Source organism: Homo sapiens, chromosome 3, assembly GCF_000001405.40.
Source record: "Homo sapiens chromosome 3, GRCh38.p14 Primary Assembly".
NCBI classification, from domain to species: Eukaryota; Metazoa; Chordata; class Mammalia; order Primates; family Hominidae; genus Homo; species Homo sapiens.
In genome coordinates, this window is record NC_000003.12 from 64,864,500 (window position 1) to 64,885,108 (window position 20,609).

A 20,609-nucleotide genomic window follows, 5' to 3' on the forward strand; every position below is an offset into this window, starting at 1 on the left:
GAGAGGAGATGGAGAATAACAGGGTTTGGGTAGATGCTTTTTAGGAAGTGTGCTCAGGAAAAGCTGCTCTGATTTATTTGAGCTGAAAAATAAAGACAGAGAAAAAGTGAGCCATGTAATGTTTGGGTAAAGAGAGTTCTAGAAATCCAAAATACTGTGTGAAAGGACTACATCCGGAAAGAAACGAGGATATTTACAGAACTGAAATGAGACTACATTTATTGAACATTTGCCTTGTACAAGTGATCATGCCGAGTCATTTGTGAGTGTGAGAGTGTGTGGTTGTGTGTGTGTCAGGATGGAGTGTAGGGGGTGTGATGCTGTTCAAGGACTAGTTAGCCTTGGCCTTCTGTTCTGGGCCTTTTTTTTTTTTCCTCTGATTCATTCACTCAGCCCCCAGATGCTACATGATGGTTTCCACCATGTTAATACAGAACGAATAAGCCATTTGGCTGTGTCAGTTCTACATGTAGAGTCATGTATTGTGTTCTAACCATTGGTCTTGCTAAAGGTTTCTTTTCGATCTCCTGCCTGTGGTTAAGAGCTATTCCTTGACATTCAGGCTAAATTCAGTTTTCCACAAACAACTTTAACAAGGTGAAATTGCTCAACAACTTTAAATATTTAATGAGGCTTGTCACTGTCTTCATTGTGGTGCTACAATGAGAGATGAAAGAGGCTTTGGACCAAAATTGGGGCATGATGGCCCAAATCAATTCTCCTTATATATATTATTGTAAAAGAGTGTCAGATAAATGGATACTTTAGGTAGATTTTAAATATAAAGAGATAATTTAAGTATTTATTATGGTACAGGTAAAGATTTTTTATTTTTTATTTTTTGAGACAGGGTCTCACTCTGTCACTGAGGCTGCAGTGCAGTGGCACAATCACAGCTCATTGCAGCTTCAACCTCCCCAGAGTTAGGTGATACTTTCACCTTAGCCTCCCGCGTAGCTGAGACTACAGGTGCATGCCACCACACCCATCTAATTTTTTTGTATTTTTTGTAGAGATAGAGTTTTACTGTGTTGCCTAGGCTGGTCTCAAACTGCTGAGCTCATGCGATCCTCCCTCCTTGGCGTCCCAAAATGCTGGGATTACAGGCATATGAGCCATTGCACCCAACCAGATAAAGACTTCTTAAGCCAATACTTACAAAATAAGTATGCAGGGGCTACAAATATATGTAGAAATGATGTTGGCAAAGAATATTTTAGAAAGTGAGTATGCAGATTATTTTTACATTATTATATTATTATAACTAAAATGAAAATAAAACACATGCAAAGAGACCCCAAAAGCTTGGGGTTAATTATCAAATCCTTTTCCTCAGTCACACAGAGCAGGGCATTTCTTCCTGAACGACAAAAAGGACTGGCAAATGAATTTAAGGAAAGCGAGACAGCTTGCTTTCTAAAGCTCACACTGGTGGAAAGAATGCATTTATCTTTTCCTCTGTGATTTCTAATATTTTAAATCTGAGCATTTGCCTTCTAAGAAGTTCTAATCCCTGATACAGAAACTTTCGCACTGTCATAGCAGAACAGAGGCCATGTGATTGCTTCATCACTCCAAAGTCCCAGATCCTATATTTGCTTTGTGCTTTTAAGTGTCATCAAGTTAATCAAGGCTGGCTGAAATTATTTGAAGACCAGGCAAAAATCTGCTTTGCTTTGCTTTTCTGCAATATGGCCTGATTTTGTAATCATACCCACATGAATCTGGCCTGTGTTGTTAGAAAAATTATCTCCTCATTAAAAACAAATCTTAATAGGCCTAATTTGGAGCCTGCTTTTGTCTGTAACTTGATCAAGAGAGTAATGAGTGTGAACCATGCTAAACAGAGGGAGACTAAAAGGAAGTCAGAAACATTCAACAGTGCAGATTACAGTCACATCAGCATGCTTTTGGTATGCAAATAAAGCACACTGGGCAACAAAATAAAATATAAACGGCTTGCTTCTATTTCTGTTCTTGACACTCTTAGGGCATGTGGGAAAACCTAAGTCTCAGTGAAAGGATTCAGTTTGAGAAACATATAATTGCTCTTTTTGGGGCCTCTCTTTAATTTCCTTAGTTGCAAAATGGGGATAATAATGTCTATAATTATTATAATAGGGTGGTTATATGGATTAAGTTAGTAGATGTAAAGCATTTAGAATAGTGTCTGGGTTTCTAGTCCAGCACATAGTTAATGATAGCACGTACCATAAGGTCTAGCTGTTATTATTGTTTTTGTTATTATTTTTGACTCCCCTCCTCCTGCCACACCGCATTCTATGTGAGCAGGAACACCAGGAGTAGACTCACAGAATTTCAGAACTTTTGAGTATTGCTTCCAGAAATACGTTCCATGAACATCCACTGTTATTTAAGATATTTGTTGTATGAAAAAGGATTTCTCTGATCAATTACTTTTGGGAAATGCTAGGTTTAATAAAATCAAAACCGTTTTTACCATAGGGTCTTTTAGAGGGCAAGGGTTCAGGAAAAGAATTATTTTTTCCTCGTACATCACTAGGCTCTTGGCCAAGACCCCTATGACAAAAGACAGATTAACAAAAGAAAAGCAAATGTATTTAATGTCATATATTTAACATAAACACATTTATATTTGTATTACTATAAATACAGATTTATTCAATATAAATTTTTTGTGACACAGGAGACTTCAGAAATGAAGATGCAAAGACAACAGGGGAAACCATATATGTTTATGGACAGTCATGCCAAAGTATGATTGGAAGACAAAAAGGTATGGTCTGATGGTAATAAATGGGGTGGGGTGTTCTCGGCAAGGCCTGTTTGTTTGGATTTCTTTTTGGCATCCATGTGACTTCCCTTTCCCCTGGGTATAGGGCAGGACACTGTCACAGAGCCTTTAGTGGAGAAGGAAAGAAGAGGGCCAGAGAGTAAACTCCCTTGGATTTATGGCCTGCTTCAGGGAATAAAAGCATCAGGAATTCAAGTTTATGGCCTGCTTGGAAGGGAGGGGAAGAGCTTGGAGAGAAGGTCAGAGAGACCTTCCTGCTTCTGCGGCTTTTTTCCAGTTTCCTTCAGCTTAAACTTCCTGTGTGCTAAGGTACCATCTTTTGGGGTATTATGCTCTGAGCCCTGTCAAGATCCTTTAATATGCAGGCAATATGAATCTCACAGAGGGTGATATTCCATTCAGTCTTTCCTAAATTTATTTGACCACAGAGCTCATTTGTTCTACAATGTCTTATAACCCTTCAAGGAACATCAGTTCTTGAAGAAAATTATGGATGAGGACTCAGTGATGCCCAAAGAGGAGAATGACTTCTAGGCTCTTAGCTAGTTGTGGGCAGAGCCCTGACTTAAGCTTGGGTCTTGTGCTTCCTATCCAGGATGCTTTGCACAAAGTACACAGCTTGCTCTGTGCTGGATTTCTGCAAGAGAGGATCTTGGGTGAAATGAGAAGTAAAGCCTGCAGGTTAAAAACATGGCCCCTGAAGACACATGGGACTTGGGTGTAAGTGCCCACTTCCCACTGTATGATCTCATGCAAGTTATTTCACTATCTGGGGTCTCCTTTTTTCCCCTTTGTGAATGAATATGATGATTACACTTGCCGTGTGAAGTTGTTGACAACTTATAAGAGAAAATACCTGTAAAGCACATACATTAATTATAAGCAATTTATTATTGTTCCTGGCACATAGTGAGTGCTCAAAATATGTTGCCAATTATTGGTCAGTAGTGCTTTGAAAGTGAAGATCCCATGGTAGGGACAGAGATCAGATGACAATTGCTTGTTTGCTGAGAACTTCCTTTGAAGTTTTGTCAGTGGAGGCTGCTCTAGAATGCTCTAAGAGAAAAGGAAGCTCTCTGTATTATTGAACCAGCCCTCAAACAAATCACCTCTTTTATATCACTGTCATCAAGAAAAAAAGACTGCTAATGATTACTGGTCAGGGTAGAAGATTTGGGCCCAGGCTTGAGGTCTTTGGATTCTACTCCAGAAATTTCCAAGACAGGAAGAATCAGAAGAGCCTCTAAACCAATACTTCTCAGTCAGGCTGGGAGTGCTATAGTGGGCCAGGGATCTGGGGCCAATCTGTCTACTTTCTGAAACCAGTCCAAGATCAGGTCAGCATAGACATTGAGAGTCAGCTTTTGGAAACCTTTATAATAATTTGCAGCGTAATTTTATGTCTGTTGGATCCAAATGATAATTTTAAAAATGGGGCTTGTATTTGTATTACCTTTACATTATTTCACTTTTCTAGTAATTTATTTTTCTTGTATTTTACAAAAGCATCAGTTCAGGTCAGATTGAAAAACAAAATAAAACTTGTCCTTTATTTCAGAGAGTTTGAGAATTGATCTAGAAAAACGATTCTCAAAACTATGTCCTGGGCCGGCAGTATCGGCATCACCTGGGAACTGGTTAGAAATGCAGTTCTCATCCCTACCAAGATCTTCTGCATTAGAAATTCTGAGCTAGGTCCCAGCAATCTGTATTTTAACACTTTTCAGGTGATTCTTATGCATACTGAAGTTTTAGTTGTACTGGGACCATCTCCAGGATAAGTGTACCTTCTTCTAAATTTATTAGAACAAGAACAGGTATTATATCCCAAGCTCTGTTGTGCAAAAATAATTTAACACCATTTCTCTAAAACCAAATTAAATTTACTTTGAACTACCATCTATTCAGGTTGGTAGTAATTTCAATCTCATTTATTAATAGAATTAGGTTCAATTACAAGTGATGAAGAACCAAAATAATAGTGGCCTAATCAATAAGCAGACTTTTGAAAAAAAGAAAAAAAAAGAAAAAAAAAAAAAACAGGCAGCAAGGGTTCTCTTGAGGCAAATTCTGTTTTCTGCCATATAACTCAAACCCCATGAGGGAAGAGAACACAGAGCCCTGCCTACCTTCTTTAATAGTAGGAAAACTCAAGGAGGACCCAAAGCAAGTTTCCAAAGTACCATCCTGCTCCATCAACAATGATATTTCATCATCCCCTATGATAATCCTGAGGCCAAATCAATACCTAGAAGGTTTGAAGAGGCCTGCTCTGAATAGCTTGGAGTTTACACATTAGATAGGTTTATTTTCTCCTTCTCTCCTTTAACTATTGTCTACTGAAGTCTTTAAGACTTCCTTCATGGGTTTTGGAACACAAAAGATTTCCTTCTTATCTTCATTGGTCTGTGAAGGATTCTCTCTTCTGTAATAGATTTTTATTTTCTTGGTACATTTTCTTGTAACTGAAATCCTCAAGCTAAAAAAGGTGGATGGAAGCACATTTTGCAAATTCATTCTCATGTCTCTGGCATTGATTCAAATCTCTAATTGAAAAACTAGTTTCCAAGGGGCACTAATTAGGTCTCGAGATTGATGCTTTGTGCAAAGTTTAGACTTTTTCTAGTCTGCCACATTATGTAGTTTCCTTTTTTCATCATCTCTAGTTTGTAGCTAAGGAATTTTATATTTCTATTGGTCTGGGCTATGGGCAACAATTTTTATGCAGTGATTACTTTTATGTAAGTGAAAATGTTGGCACTTTAGAATAAATTTTGACACATTTCCAATATCTACTACTGTATCTAATGAATTATGTAGCATTTTTCTTAATGTGCTTGAGAGCCAATTATATATTTGTTGTATATTCATTTGGTTGTCAAATCTTAAAAAGGAAATATTCAGAATACCAAATTAGATTTACTCCTGTTTATAGTCCCCAGTGTTGTATCTGTCCCATGATATGAATCTCCACCAAATCCCCAGAATACATAAACTTCTGAATTTAGATATACTTGAAGCTGATCTTTCTTCACCCTTATTTACTTTTTTAGCAAATACTTTTAGAAACAAAAACAGGAAAAGGTAGAATCTTATCAAATCAAGTATTATGTCACATTAATTTTATAGTAATAACTTGTTATACAGCATGGATATCAACCTCATTCTTTACTTCCTCTTGCTTTCATGTTCTAATATAGCTTTTCTATCACTTTTCTTGCTTAATTTTAAATAAGAATAAAAGTACTTGCAATTCCATTTAAAAACATCCACTTTTGAATATTTTGGTTCATTTTGTTCTAATCTCAGAGAAAGATATCTTTTTAGAAACACTGCCTTTTAAAATACATCCATATGTATTTTATTTATATCCATATGAATTTTTTTTCCCATTTATAAAGTAACACATACTTGTTATCACAAATTCAAACCAAAGTGTATAAAGAAAAAAGTTGGCTGTGTTTTGTTGCCACATTTTTGGATCTAATTGCCTAAAGATCAGGCAAATTGGCATGGCTTCTGTAACTAGAGGTTAGCTGTTAGTGAAACTTTTTTGCCAAATTACTTGCACAGTGTCACTCCACTAGAGCTCTGGGTCAGTTGGATAGACCATTTTACGAATTTCAAGACAACATCTAAAATATATGTTGTTTTGCAACATCTTCTCCCAGTAAGTAGTGTCAGAACTTGCTCCTCTGGCTTTGATAAAGTGAATTGCAACAGGGAAGCTGAGTCAATTGAGGGTGAGATTTAAAGTTTTATATTTTAATGTTTTTCGGTTTAACAAGATGCAGTGAACACTGTGACAGTAGTGAAATAGAATTTCCTTCAGCAGTCTCTTTGAATGACTCAAACCCCGATATATTTGCTCTTCCCTCCTGAGTGGAGAAAGAATGATGGATTCAGAATAGATAGGGGCCATGACTGCAGAAGATTTTTATTTCTGATTAGACCCTGACAGCCACCTAGCTTGTTTTAGAAATTGAAGGAAAAGAAATTTTTTTTTTGTTTTAAAGATACAGTGAGAGGGAGGGTAAGAATAGCTATATTACTTATGTTTAGCCCCCAAAAGGCGAATATATCACACACTTGATTTCACCCCTCTTCTGCCCTTGACAGACACTGCTAATCAACCAGGTCACATTTCCCACTGAGCTTAAATATAGCCTCAGGATTTTTCTTGGTACAGCCCTCTGGGCAGCTGCTACCAATCTATCTGGGTTGGCTTATGAGATTGATTTACAGAGTGCATTATTTATTCATTTATTCAACATTTATTGAACATCTAAACTGTGCCAGGCATGTTAAAGGCATTCAGCAGCAAGACATGAAACTTAAATTCCAATGAAAATCAAAACTTTTTATTGCCTTTTTTGGTCCTGCACATTTGCTTGGCATGCAGTAGGTGCTCTATATCTATATATCTATCTATATATCTAGCTATATATATATATCTCACATTGCATTTAATTGGTACGTGAAGAACATTCTGGCATCAGCTGACCCAGCTGAGAGGTGAAGAGTGGCTATGGTTCTCCCTCAAATAATAAGAACATTTTTTCCACCTCAGTTCACTTCCTGCTCAGGGTCTATTAAAAACAAATTCATCATCAAGATCAGTTCTCAACTCGGTAGGTTTTGAGGGGCAGGGGGAGATAGCCACAAGAAGAATCAGACACAGAATCTCATCTCATCCCTTAAATCTGACCTCTGAATGTCTTTTAGATTTGCTGATTGGATTCTTGCTAGAACACAATATCAGACTTCATCCTCAAAGGAAATAAATTAAGCTGCTCCACACAAGGACAAATGGTTGACATTGTGCTCTTGCTAACATCTTGTGTGCAGCTGTGAACAGCTGTGTTAGTGCCAGTTAAGCTGTGATAGCATCATTTGGGAAAGAGATAAAGGGCAATTCATTCACAAAGCGCTATTCAAAGGGTCTCACAGGTGTGCTCTAAGGATTGTTTTTCTGCTATCTCTCTTCTATCTAAAATATATACTGACTTAAGGTGATTGGGTAATATAATTCTGACAAAATTACAGGTCACCTCCCTCCAGGAATGGTGTTTTAGGAATATATGCTGTGAAATTCATAAACAAATAGGAAATAGAAAAAAAGCATTTCCCACTTGAAAAGAGGATAAGCATCTGACTCTGAAGTGAGTCTGACCATTTATTCATTCCCTTATGAATAATCCCCAGTTTCCCCCTTCTCTGGTAGAGAGAAGCACAAAATGTGCCAAGAGAGTGGCTCTTTTAGAAAACAGCCTTAACACCCTTATTTGCAATTTTACTCCCCTCCCATCCCACTCCCTCCAGAAAAAAAGAGGCCACCAGCTGTTTGACCACAAATGGTCAGCTCTTTTAGTGAACAAGAACAGGGTCAGCTACTAACTACCAGTGAAGGGGACAAAAATTAGATGAGAAAAGGGATATCTTGTGAAAATAGATTGAAATGGCATTTGGATGTTTGTTTTAAACAGACTTCAGTTTGCCATATGAAGAGGAAATTGCGTGTATGGGATGCCCGCTTGAAAATTTGAGAAAGATAAAGCAGTAACATTAAACGGGATAGAAATTCTAGGTCAATGTTCCCAAATGCTGGCCCTAACCCTCGGCCACATCCCCAGTACTGCTGAGTGAACTTGTTAACGCTATGGGTTCCCTGGTATCACTTTGTGTAGAAACACTGGAAGCAGTGCCTGAGCTTTTCCAATCAATTCCCCAGATAAGGTTAGAGTATACAGCTAGATTTGGGAATTACTGGTAGGTCCCAGGCTAAACAAACAAAAATACAGCAGATCAAATACCTAGAGGAGAAAACTGCAGACAGAACAAGAAAAATGAGATGGAAGGCCTGCCCCTCTGTCTAGAGCCAAACCAACAGGTACAATTTTGTAATCAATAAAGGGTAATTAATTGAAGACTTCTTACATGTCCAATACTGATCCAAATGCTCTCTATTCCTTCAAGCTTTTAATCTTTGAAGCATAAGAAACTTTATGAATGAAGCTTCCTTCACATGGGACACACACACAGTTTAAAGCAGATGGAAGATCACACAGCTGGTAGGTAGCAGAACCAAGCTTCGAACCCAGGCAGTCTAGATCCACAGCCTGTGCTCTCAACCTCTGCCTTTACCTCATCCTGTCTTTCCTGTGCAAACGGAAGGCCCTTGGGAAAATAATATTATTAACAAGTCAGTGCCTTGCCTCAGGGAGCTCACATAAATTCTTAGTATAATGGAGCCAGTGCAGTGTGCAATGTGCAAAGAAAAACTCACAGGTCACTGCAGCATTACAGAGGAGGCCTGACCCAGGATGGGGAGTGGGCTCTCTGGAGGTGGTGATGCCAGATCTGAGATCTTAAAGGATGAGTAAGAGTGAGTCAGAAAAAGATTGGCAGGTGGGAAAGGCATTGTAGGAGGAGCAAAGATAAAATAGTTCCAGGCATCTCTAGGCTTCTCTCAGGAGAAGGGTGAATGGATACAAGGTGGTAAGCATAATAATCTACTCAATTATTGACAGTAATTATTAGTGATTATGGTATAATTGGGACTACTCTTAATAATTATCACAATTGTTTGTAATATTGAGTGAATAGTGATTGTAGTGTTCCACAGCCTATTGCTGGGTAATAAATTATTCCAACACCTAGTGGCATAAAACTATTTTTTATTATACTCTTGGAATTTATGGATAAGAAATTCTGACTACAAAGGTTGGGTGGATTGAGTCTGCTTCTCAGTGTCTGGGGCCTCAGCTGGCATTAACTCGACTAGCTGGGGCAACGAACAATTGCCGTTGGAGTGCTTACTTCCAAGCAGCATGGTCTATCATCCTGGTGGCAATGATTGGAAGACTGGACTAAGATGGGACTCTTGACCAGAGGTCCTCCATGTGCCTTCCTCAGCATGGTGGCACTGGGGAAGTGGAACTTCTTTCAAGGTAGAACAGTGCTTCTAGCAGGCAAGGTGGAGGCTGATGTCGTTGCGACCTAGCTTTGGAAGACAAACTGTCATCTCCACCACAGGCTGTTGTTACAGCACTCATAAGGACTTCCAGATTCAAGGGGAGGAGACATAGCTTCAATTTGCAATGGGAAGAACACCAAAGAGTCTGGAGTCAAGTTTTAAAATTATCACATATGATTAGGATGTATGGAGTGCTTCCTATGTGCTGGGCACTCTGCATCTATGCTTAACCAGAGATACTCACTGAAAGCTCATCGCAACAGTAGGAAATATGTGCTATGATCACCGCAGTTTATAGATAAGGGATCACAGGGATGGGGGTATATGTAACTTATCCAAGGTCCCCAGTAAGTGCCCAACTTTGGAATTCAACCCAGATCTGTAGGCTTAAAAGCTTAACCGTAACCTGTATTACTGGGTATTCTTTGTAACTCAGCCCCGACTCCTGACCCAATGTGTATAGTAGGCTCATTGTGAGTGTTTGTGAAAAGAAAGAAAGTCTCAGCAACTATATATCTAAGGGGACCCAAATAGGGACTTTGGTGGGAGGCAATATAATGCTTGGCAACTCCCATATTCTCTTTTGCTCTTGGCAGACATGAAATCCTTAGGAACCAACTTGGGCTGTGCGGACTTTGGGCTTGATCTTTACATGTCTCATATAATTGCTCAAATAATTCTTTCTATGGTGGCCTCATCCCCAGAGACCTTGTGCCAGGATCCTGGAATTAGGGACAACTACAATTTGGTAAATACTTCTGAATCAAAGTTCTCTGAGATTCAGGAAAAATGAACACAAGTTGGGAGCATTATTTTCCAGGATTATAGAAAAATGTATTAATATTTTCACTGCTTTTTGTGGCTTATTCCAATCAGAAGAGTCATCAGTAGCATTTAAACCCAAATTAATTTTGTTTCCATTTATCCACTCATCCAACATTTATTTTTTCACTCATCTTAGTGTGTTTCAGGCACTGTGCTGAATCATGAAGACACCATGGTGAATAAAACAGACATTGTCTCCTCCCTCACAGAGCTTATACTCCAGTGAGAGAGACAGAGAGAAACTAAGTAGATAACTCCACAAATACATAATTGCTAATTCTCGAAAGTGCTACCAAGGAAACTAATAAGGAGATAAAATAACAAAAGGGCAGAGGGTGAGGTTGGAAGTCTCTAGAGGGGTGATAGTTAAGCTGAAACTCAAAGGAAGAGAAGAAAAGAAAGGCCATGACCCTATTTATTTTTATTCTGATTTCTTCTTTGGTCCCAACTTTTTTTGAGTTCAAACCCTGTATTCCATAGGAAATTATGCTCAAAGAGCATTAGAACATTGAGGCCAGAAGAATCTAACTGGTCCTTATTCTCGTATCAAGTTTGTGTGCCCAGACTCGTTATAGACTGAGCCCTTTGCCTGACAAAGGTAAGTCTTGAGATGTAAGGATTGACCTTATTCCCCAGCAGCAGAGACCTGAGTCCAGCCCCAACTGCCAGCCTCGAAATGCTCAGTCGTTGGTATGCCCACCAAGATCCTTTCATCCTCGTGCAAACAGTGTTGATGGGCCATTCTGCCTGTCTTCCAGAGACACCTTCAAACTGCAGAAGTGGGCTAGGCCTTCAGGCTAGAAGCCATTGAAAGATGGGCTTCCAGGCCTGGCGCAGTGGCTCACGCCTGTAATCCCAGCACTTTGGGAGACTGAGGCAGGCAGATCACAAGGTCAGGAGATTGAGACCGTCCTGGCCAACATAGTGAAACCCCGTCTCTACTAAAATACAAAAAATTAGCCGGCGTGGTGGCGCACACCTATAGTCACAGTTACTCGGGAGGCTGAGGCAGGGGAATTGCTTGAACCCAGGAGGCAGAGGTTACAGTGAGCTGAGATTGCACCACTGCACTCCAGCCTGGTGACAGAGAAAGACTCTATCTCAAAAAAAAAAAAAAAAAAAAAGGTGAGCTTCCAAAAAGCTCACACAAATGTTGCTTTTTAAAATCAAAGCATATTTATATTTACCAAGGTACTGACATTTAAGGAAATCTGGCCTTGTTGGGATGGGGGGCAAGCTAATAATTACCCCTTTATTTATTTTTTAAAGTTTAGATACTCATTGACCTAATGAAGAAGGTCTCTAGGATTTGAGCTGTTGACAACTGTGGCAGTTGCAGGAGGTGACACGGGGGACTCAGCAGCACTGGAGACCTTGGGTTGGTGCATTTTAATAGTCTGTGGAATATCAAAACATGCAGTTATTATTTGAGACCATTCTTTGGAAATTGTTTCATTCATGTGTATATGTACATAGAATATAAATATGTAACAGCATAATTAGTATGCATACATGGACTTATTTAAATTTTAAAATAGCAGCTAATAACTTATTGCATACCTACTAATCTCAGTTCTTAGAACAACCTAATAAAATGGTTATGATTATAACATTGTATAGGTGAGGAAGTAATAATATATCAAATAACACTTTTATTGTCCAGCAGAATACCCACTGGATATATGGGGCTATTTCAATTTAAGTTATTTAAAATTAAATAAATTTATAGTTCTTCAGTCACACTAGCCACATTTCAAGTGTCTAGTAGAGCATTTCCATCATCACAGAAAGTTCTGGTAGACAGTGCTCTGTCTACCAGAACTCTAGTTTCTCAGCTCTGGCACTAGACATTTTGGGCTGGCTGATTGTTTGCTACAGGGACTTATCCTGTGCATTCCTTGTACGGTGTTTAGCAGCCACTACTCATAGTCACCGGTAGCACCTTCCTCCACTTGTGGCAACCAAAAATGTCTCCAGACAGTGCAAAGTGTCCCCTAGAAAGAGAGAGCAAAATCATCCCTGGCTGAGAACCAATGTTCTAGATTCAGCCTAAGGGTTATGAGCTGACTGGGAACTCCAGGAAGGTGCTTTAAATACTTTGAGTTTAACTTTTCCCATTGGTAAAAGAAACTTAAAAAAATAGAATATATTTTCATGAAATTTTCTGAGGGTTAAATACTGTAGGTTAAGAATTTAGTAGATAATAAAAGTGGATTAAAGGAATTTTTGGACTCAAATGTCCTTACTCTGCCCTTAAACCGATGTCTAGATGAGCTGATGTGGCAACTGGAAGCCTGGAAATCAAGATTTCTGCTTGCTCTTCTATTACCCTATCCATGAACTTGGGTTTCCATGTTTAGATAGCTCAAGGTCTGGAGACAATGACAAATTTGACTTTTTAAGACAACAAACCCTGGGGACTTAGAAACTGTTTAGAAACAAACAAGACTCTAACTTAAAACAGAAAGTCATCATTCTGCTTCATTGCCCAGGTTTTGTCGGAGTGACCTTGAGAGTGTACGCAATGATGAGGCAAGCAATTAATAAGGGAGGATTTTAAATGTCTCTATAAAAATAGGATCAAAAACTTAGATCAATTATAATGAAAATAATTAAAACACATTAATTTGGACAACTGTCAGTAAACTATTGGACGTTTCTATCTCAACTGTCTAAATAAGCATTTGGCCCTATTACACTCAGACTACTAGTTAGAAAGTTAGAAGGATAAGTAAATTAGTAGTTTTAAAATTGGTACCTACCATTGCTTTAAAAAAAACAAACAAATATAGTGGTTTGTTGGGCTTTCAAGGGAAACCATAATCAACTTATTCTTGTCCTTGATATTTTCCTTGGTTTGTAGGATGGAGTTGAATGTAACTTTCTGAGTATAAAATCATCAGTAGATTGGACTATGTGAACTAATCTTTGAAATTTTTTTAAACCTATTATAAAGGAAATTCCGTAAGATTTAAAACTAATGCATTGAGCAGAGGAGTAAAATAGTTCATTTCTTCAATTTCTGTTTCAATGATTGATACCTGAGAAGTCACCTGTCTATTAGAAACAGAGTTCAAGTTCACCATTTACATAATAACCTGGTCATTCACCATGCGTTTACAATGTATCAGGCCCCAGGTAAAGAATTAAGTATTACATCATTCATCTCATCTAAACTTCCTAACAGTATGAAGGGGGAATTATTTCCTTTCATTTTGAAGATGCGAAAAAGGCTGAGAGTTTGGATAACCTGATAATAAGGGGTATAGCCAAGTTTCAGACTCAGGTCTGCAAAATGTCAAAGCTTTTGGTCACTTGCCCAGATGCAGGTGAGCTGCAGATCAGTGGTGAAGAAGATATTTCTTCTGACATGTAAATCCACACCTAGCTCTCCTCCACACCAGTATCTCTGCTTGCTGCATTTGAACAAGGGACATAGTGTTATCTGTGTCCTTTGGCCTTGTTGATTCATTAAGCTGGATTATGAATGAGTCATTCTTCACAGCCTTGCTAAACAAAATATATATTTTTAATATGACGAGTCAGCCAGTATCTCTGGATATTTTCTAGGTTACTTGTTCATCAGAGAAAAATTCTGAGTAGCCATTTAAAAAAAGGAAACAGGTTCTACGGAAATCAATCAAACCAGTCCAACACCACCAGCCCCCACCCCAAAAAAGAAAAATATTCAAAATGGTCTCAAAGAAAGAACTCACTAATTTAGAGTTATTGAAGGGAGAGATAATTCTGAATTAATAAAATATTTTAATTAAAATATGAGTTAAAAAAAGAAAGTCATTATCTTTGTGATACTTGATGAATGAATGAATCAATCAAACTGGAGTGCAGAAAATATAAAATGATATCAACTGGGCAAAAATAGAATCTTGTGGAGAACTCACTGGGCCTAGTTTGATGAACAGATGAGGGATTTTTGAATACAGTTTTTCATTTACTTACAGGTCAAGGGGCTACTATAGTTTCAGGGGAAAAAACTATTCCTATAAGCTGGTGGACATTACCCTTGCAATCTTTTTATGCTGTACTTTTCTTAACTAACTCTTTAAGACGCAGAGGTAATGAACTCCTCAGACTCTACCAAATAATAAGAAATGATGAATTGTTGGGACTGGAATTCATGAAGTCTTCTTATATAGTCAAATGTTTACAGCAGCACAATTCACAATTGAAAAAATATGGAACCAGCCTAACTGCCCATCAACCAATGAGTGGATAAAGAAAATGTGGACATATGTGGACATATATAGACACACATGTCATATGTACGTATATACTATGGAATATTGCTCAGTCACAAAGAGGAATGAAATAATGGCATTTGCAGCAACCTGGTTGGAACCAGAGACCATTATTCCTTTTGTTTTTTTTTTTTGAGATGGAGTCTCGCTTTGTCACACAAGCTGCAGTGCAGTGGCACAATCTCAGCTCACTGCAATCTTCACCTTGTGGGTTCAAGCAATTTGGAGACCATTATTCTAAGTGAAGTAACTCAGGAATGGAAACCCAAACATCGTATGTTCACTTTCATAAAAGAGAGCTAACCTGTGAGGATGCACACACATAAGAATGACATAATGGACTTAGGGGGAAGGGTGGGAGGGGGGTCGGGGATAAAAGACTATACATTGGGTGCAGTGTACACTGTTTGGGTGATAGGTACACCAAAATCTCAGAAATCATCACTAAAGAACTTAGCCACGTAACCAAACACCACCTGTTCGCCAAAAACTATTGAAATAATAATAATAAAATATAACTTTATAAAGGACAACCAAGTATGGTTACTTCTATTTGAACTAGTCACATTTTGTTCCACCAGATTTATCACTTTTCTCATACTAATAACATGGGAAACTAAATTCTAATTTGATGTGCTGGTATTTATTTTTGCCTTGGTAAAACATTTAGTCCTATCTCCAATGTCTGTCTAAAAGAAATAGACATCTAACTAATACAAAACAGGCAGACTAGCTTTATTAGTCTGTTCTCACACTGCTAATAAAGACATGCCTGAGACTAATTTATTTATAATTTATAAAGGAAATTTATAAAGGAATTTATAAAGGAAAGAGGTTTAATTGACTCACAGCTCAGCATGGCTGGGGAGGCCTCAGGAAACTTACAATCATGGCAGAAAGGGAAGCAAACACGTCGTTTTTCACATGGTGGCAGGAAGGGGAAGAATGAGTGCCCAGCGAAGGGAGAAGCCCCTCATAAAACCATCAGATCTCAAGAGAACTCACTATCATGAGAACAGGATGGGGGAAACGGCCCCCATGATTCAATTATCTCCACCTGGTCCCTCCCACAATACATGGGGATTATGGGAACTGCAATTCAAGATGAGATCTCGGTGAGGACACAGCCAAACCATATCACTAGCTAATGAATAATAAATAATCTTGGAGGAAAGAAAAAAAACACGGAAATTAATTTGAATGTGTTAGATATCTATTGCTGATAACAAACTTTTTCAAATCTTAGGGGCTTAAAAGAACACACATAAACTATTTCACACTTTATGTGGGTCAGGGATCTGAAAGGACTTAGTTTGGTGATTCTGGCTCAGGGTCTTCTCATGAGGCTGCAATCAAGGTATCAGCCAGATAACAGTCATATAAGGCATGACACAGGCAGAAGAAGCTGCTTCAAATCTCATTCATAGGCCTGTTGGTCTGAAGCTTCAGTTAGACACCATGTGGGCATCCAGGGCACTATTCATAACACAGAAGCTGGCTTCCCCAAGAGTGTGTGATTTAAGAAACAGAGGGAGAGGGAGAGGGACAAGGATAATTCAATATGGATGCCACAGTCTTTTTATAACCTAATTTTGGAAGTGACATCCCATCTGTATGAGTCTGTTCTAACATTGCTATAAAGAAATGCCTGAGACTGGGTAATTTTTAAAGAAAAACTGTTTAATTGGCTTGTGGTTATGCAGGAAGCACAGTTATACAGGAAGCATGGCTCAAGGAGATTTAGAGGCTTAATTGGCTCATGGTTCTGCAGGAAGCACAGTTGTACAGGAAGCATGGCTCAAGGAGATTTTACTCATGGCAGAAGGCAAAGTGGGAGCAGGCATCTTCACATAGCCAGAGCAGAAGGAAGAAACAGAGGTCAGAGATACTTACACACTCATAAAAACCAGATCTAGTAAGAACTCACTGTCACCATGGCAGTACCAAGGGGGATGGTGCTAACCATGAGAAACCACCCCCATGATCCACTCGCCTCCCACCAGGCCCCAACTCCAGCACTGGATATGAGATTTTGGTGGGGACACAGAGCCCAAACATACCACCATCAGTTCCGCAAAATTGTGTGTTAGAAGCCAGTCAGTAAGTCTGGCCCATGCGCAAGGAGAAGGAAAGGATTAAACAAGGTCATGAATGCCGAAAGGAAAAAAATCACTGAGGATATCTTAGAGGCTGCCTACCACCAATGAGTTTTTTTTTTAATAACGCTGATAGCTACATGCTATAGATTATCCAGAAGTAGTCATCTCTGCAAAGCATGTCCTGGGGACACTAGAGGAAAAGTAAAACAAAGAGTAAATGTTTCTAAACCATGTTTTGGTGCTTGGATTTTTTCCCTGTGAATTTTCCCCCTAAGCCATTTAAGGAAAAAAGACTTTATTCACATATATGACAACCATTCACCCAGAGCTGGCCATCCACAGGAGCAGAAATATTGTTCACTTCCATGGTATAGCTTGAGAAGAGTCAGAGAACCTCTCCTTTCAGAGCATCTTCTAAAAGAAGCTCTGTGATGATCTTTGGGGTATAAGACATTCTCAAGAGAAGAAACACCATCCCTAAGGGGCAAAAATTGGCTCATGGGGGCAAAAAGTCCTTACTCTTACGGCGTGATGATGAAAAGAAGATGGATAAAAACTGGTGTAGAACAAGCCAGTAAAGAGAGTTCTAAGGCAAGGAAGGCTTTGAGGAGGGAGGGACTGGGAGTCAGATTCAGCTCTGGTTGAACACGGAGAGACGGAATTTGGAAGAGTATAAATGGACTGTCCCAGACATGTGTTGGGCTGGAGTTTTACTTCTCAATCTGATGTTACCTAATTTCTACCTTTTAGGGATTCCTCACAGTTTATGGCCCATGGAGAGTTCCTTTCTAGTTTTGTAGTGCACCTGTGTACAAACTCATTTCAAACATGTTTGCTGGCATTTCTGGAAGATTTGAGGTTGGTGGAAGAGGTTGTAGCTTGTGTTTAGTTTGCTACCTTGGAATGAAAAATGTTTATTACAGAGCCAGGGAAAATGGCTCTATTTTCTCCTATTCCTCCTTCCTCCCACTCCTTCTGAATAGAGGTAGAATCTGCAATTTGCGGTCAGGAAGAAAAAAGGACTAGAAAATAGGCACGGGGTGTGTGGAATAGAGTTAAGGAAAGTGAAGTAGCAACGAAACTTGCACCATCAGCCACTCTATGAGAGTCTGGTCCTAACACTCATGGTGTATCTACATTTGCGTTTTCTCATTTTTTAAATGGAGGGTTTGTATAAAATGGTACTTAAGTTTGACTCTAGCTTCAACAATATATAATCCCATAAAATACCATATCTATCTTCAAATATAGCTGTTAGAATTGTATGTCTTTGGGTTAGGGCTTTGATTCTCCTCTTGCAATTCAAATACTCAGCAGACTAGTAAAAGTTTAGCTGTTAACCTATAATTGTCACCTTTATGTGAACTGCGTATATTCACAACATACAGAGAAAAGACTCCAAGTCTCAGGACTCTTAATGGATTCAGTATAAGAGTCAAGAATCAAGTCCTTGTGGGCCCTAGTCTAGGACTTGGAAGACCCTGAAGACATTTAGCCCAAATCATCATTTTACCTAAAGTCAGCCTATTACATTGAATCTCATGAAATTCTCATTTTTGTAGATGAGAACTTGTTGAATTTGGCAATGTTACGTAGTCAAAACTAGAGTTTAGCCAGTAGATCAATGTCCTTTAATGAGAAGCATTTTTTTATTAAATAACATTTTTATCTATTTTAGGACATTTATTAAATAATTGCCACTGATTATATTTTATCATCTTCTAAATGCAAGGTGTAACTGAATTCGAAAGTGACAACACAAGAATAGGTGTCTATTTATAATGAATTAGTGTGAAAAACAGAAAGTTATTATTTTTCCGTTTGAAAGAAAGGTTGTTCATTAATAAATACAGTCAGTCCACTTGCAGTTTTAAGACTCTGCTCTTTCCACTTTTTCCTTGTACAGTTTGTAACAATTTCTAGTGGAAATGGCCCAAAAAATAAGAAACTCTAGCTTACTGATCATGCAGAAAGCCATGGAGGCAGGAGTAGAAGGAGTGATGGTGTATGGACTCTTCTGTTTCAGCCTAGTTTTACTAGGTCTACTCTGAGATTCTGTGGAAATCTATAGCAGATTCCATTTCTAAACTAGCAAATGAGTAAACTATACATGGAAGCTGAGGCTTAAAGGGAGAGAAGGAAGAAGAAGAAGGAGGAGAAGGAGAAGAATTAGGAGAATTGGAAGGAAATGGAGGAGAATTAGAAGAAGTGAGAACATTCAAAGAACTTTGAGAAGAAGAGGAATTGGAAACAGAAGAAGAACTGGGGGAGAAAGAGGGAAAGAAGTGAAGAGAATTGTAGAGGGAAAACAAGTGGAAGAGGAGGAGGAGAATGAGAAGGAAGAGAGCACTCATGGTTTCTAATACATGATCACTGGCTTGGCCACTATAAGAGAAGAAGAAGAAAGTAAACATTGTTTCTTTAATCATGACTTTATTCCCCACCTCCTTCCAAAAGAACTTATAGTGACTAGGACAGCAAAGGAGCAGGAACATTCTAGAACTGCTTTGAGAGAGAGTTTATAACTTTAACTTCTTTTTCTTGTTCTTCTTCCAGTGCCATACAGTGGCCCAGACAACCTGAATTAGCAAATTGAGAGTAAAACAGACAAACAAACAAAAAAGCGACAGGCATTCTCTGGAATTGCTTTTTCATCCTTTACAGCCTACCCTTTGGGTATTGCTGGATTTCTGTGAATTTTGACCTTTCTGGCAATCAACATGAATAGGCCATATTCTGAAAACATACTGGAAATGTTGTGTGACATGTGGATTAGGCTGTGTTGACAAATAGTGTGGTCTGTCAGATATTCCACAAAACACTGCCACCTGTAGAAAATAAACCCCTCAGTGGCTGTGTCTCAGCTCCTGGCATACGTGGGACTGTCTCATATCACTTTCCATCACTTCTCATATGTATCAGAGGCCTTACATATCACTTTTCAAGTCGTTTCCTTATTTACATATCACCGTGGTCAAAAATTCCCAGGACAACATAATCAGCTATCTTAACCAAGCCAATAAACAAGTCCAGTAAATAAATAAATAATCCCTCTCTATATTCCCTCCTCAAGGTCTTTCTCCCAGAACTGTCTTCTCTTCACAAGCAAACTCTAAGGCTGAAGATATTATTTGTACACACTCTGGTTCATTGGCAGTATATATTTTCAATCTGCCAAAAAATGTGAAAAGGAAGCATGCTGAATTTAGCTTCCCCCAGAATTGAATTCAACTGGATGTCAAACTTCTAGTAGGACTTGTAAAAGTTCCACTGTTGTTGGCATCTGCAGGGAGAGCAAAGAGACAGCTGTAAAAAGCATCTTCTCGCCAAAACGTGATTTGGGAAAGGTCATTTTATTACATGATTTATTTATATTGTTTCTCCATGGTACACAACGTTCTGATGGGGATGCAGAGCATTCTGATGTGGACACAGAGCCTGGAAAAGGAGGAGAGGTGTTTAAAGAAATCCTCAAAGCCTGCAACTCAGAGGCACCATATGGGCCAAGGAGATGTTTGATGTATATTCTGAAGGCTGTTTTAAGCCTCCAACAGGCTGCAGCTTTTCTGTATCAATCAAATCAAAAAGGAAGTTCTATCATGATAAGATCGATCTCCTCCACTGTCCTCTGAGACTTCATCAGTAAGAAACACGATTAGAAGTAGGTCTTGCTT

General features: G+C 38.7%; 2 long non-coding RNA genes across 3 annotated transcripts in view; one reads left to right on the top strand and one right to left on the bottom strand.

The window, feature by feature from the left end:
• Positions 1-20,609, top strand: part of ADAMTS9-AS2 (ADAMTS9 antisense RNA 2) — a 326,599-nt gene that overhangs the window by 179,630 nt on the left and 126,360 nt on the right. The window contains exon 4 of the long non-coding RNA NR_038264.1: positions 2,669-2,758. This is a non-coding gene — a long non-coding RNA (ADAMTS9 antisense RNA 2). The remainder of the gene's footprint in view (positions 1-2,668; positions 2,759-20,609) is intronic.
• LOC105377124 (uncharacterized) overlaps positions 11,827-20,609 on the bottom strand; it is a 99,923-nt gene continuing 91,140 nt past the window's right edge. The window contains exon 3 of one of the 2 annotated variants that reach the window (XR_007095948.1): positions 11,827-11,974. This is a non-coding gene — a long non-coding RNA (uncharacterized LOC105377124). Of the gene's footprint in view, positions 11,975-13,945; positions 13,994-20,609 lie in introns of those variants that run through there. The other variant, XR_007095946.1, reaches the window with a different exon arrangement.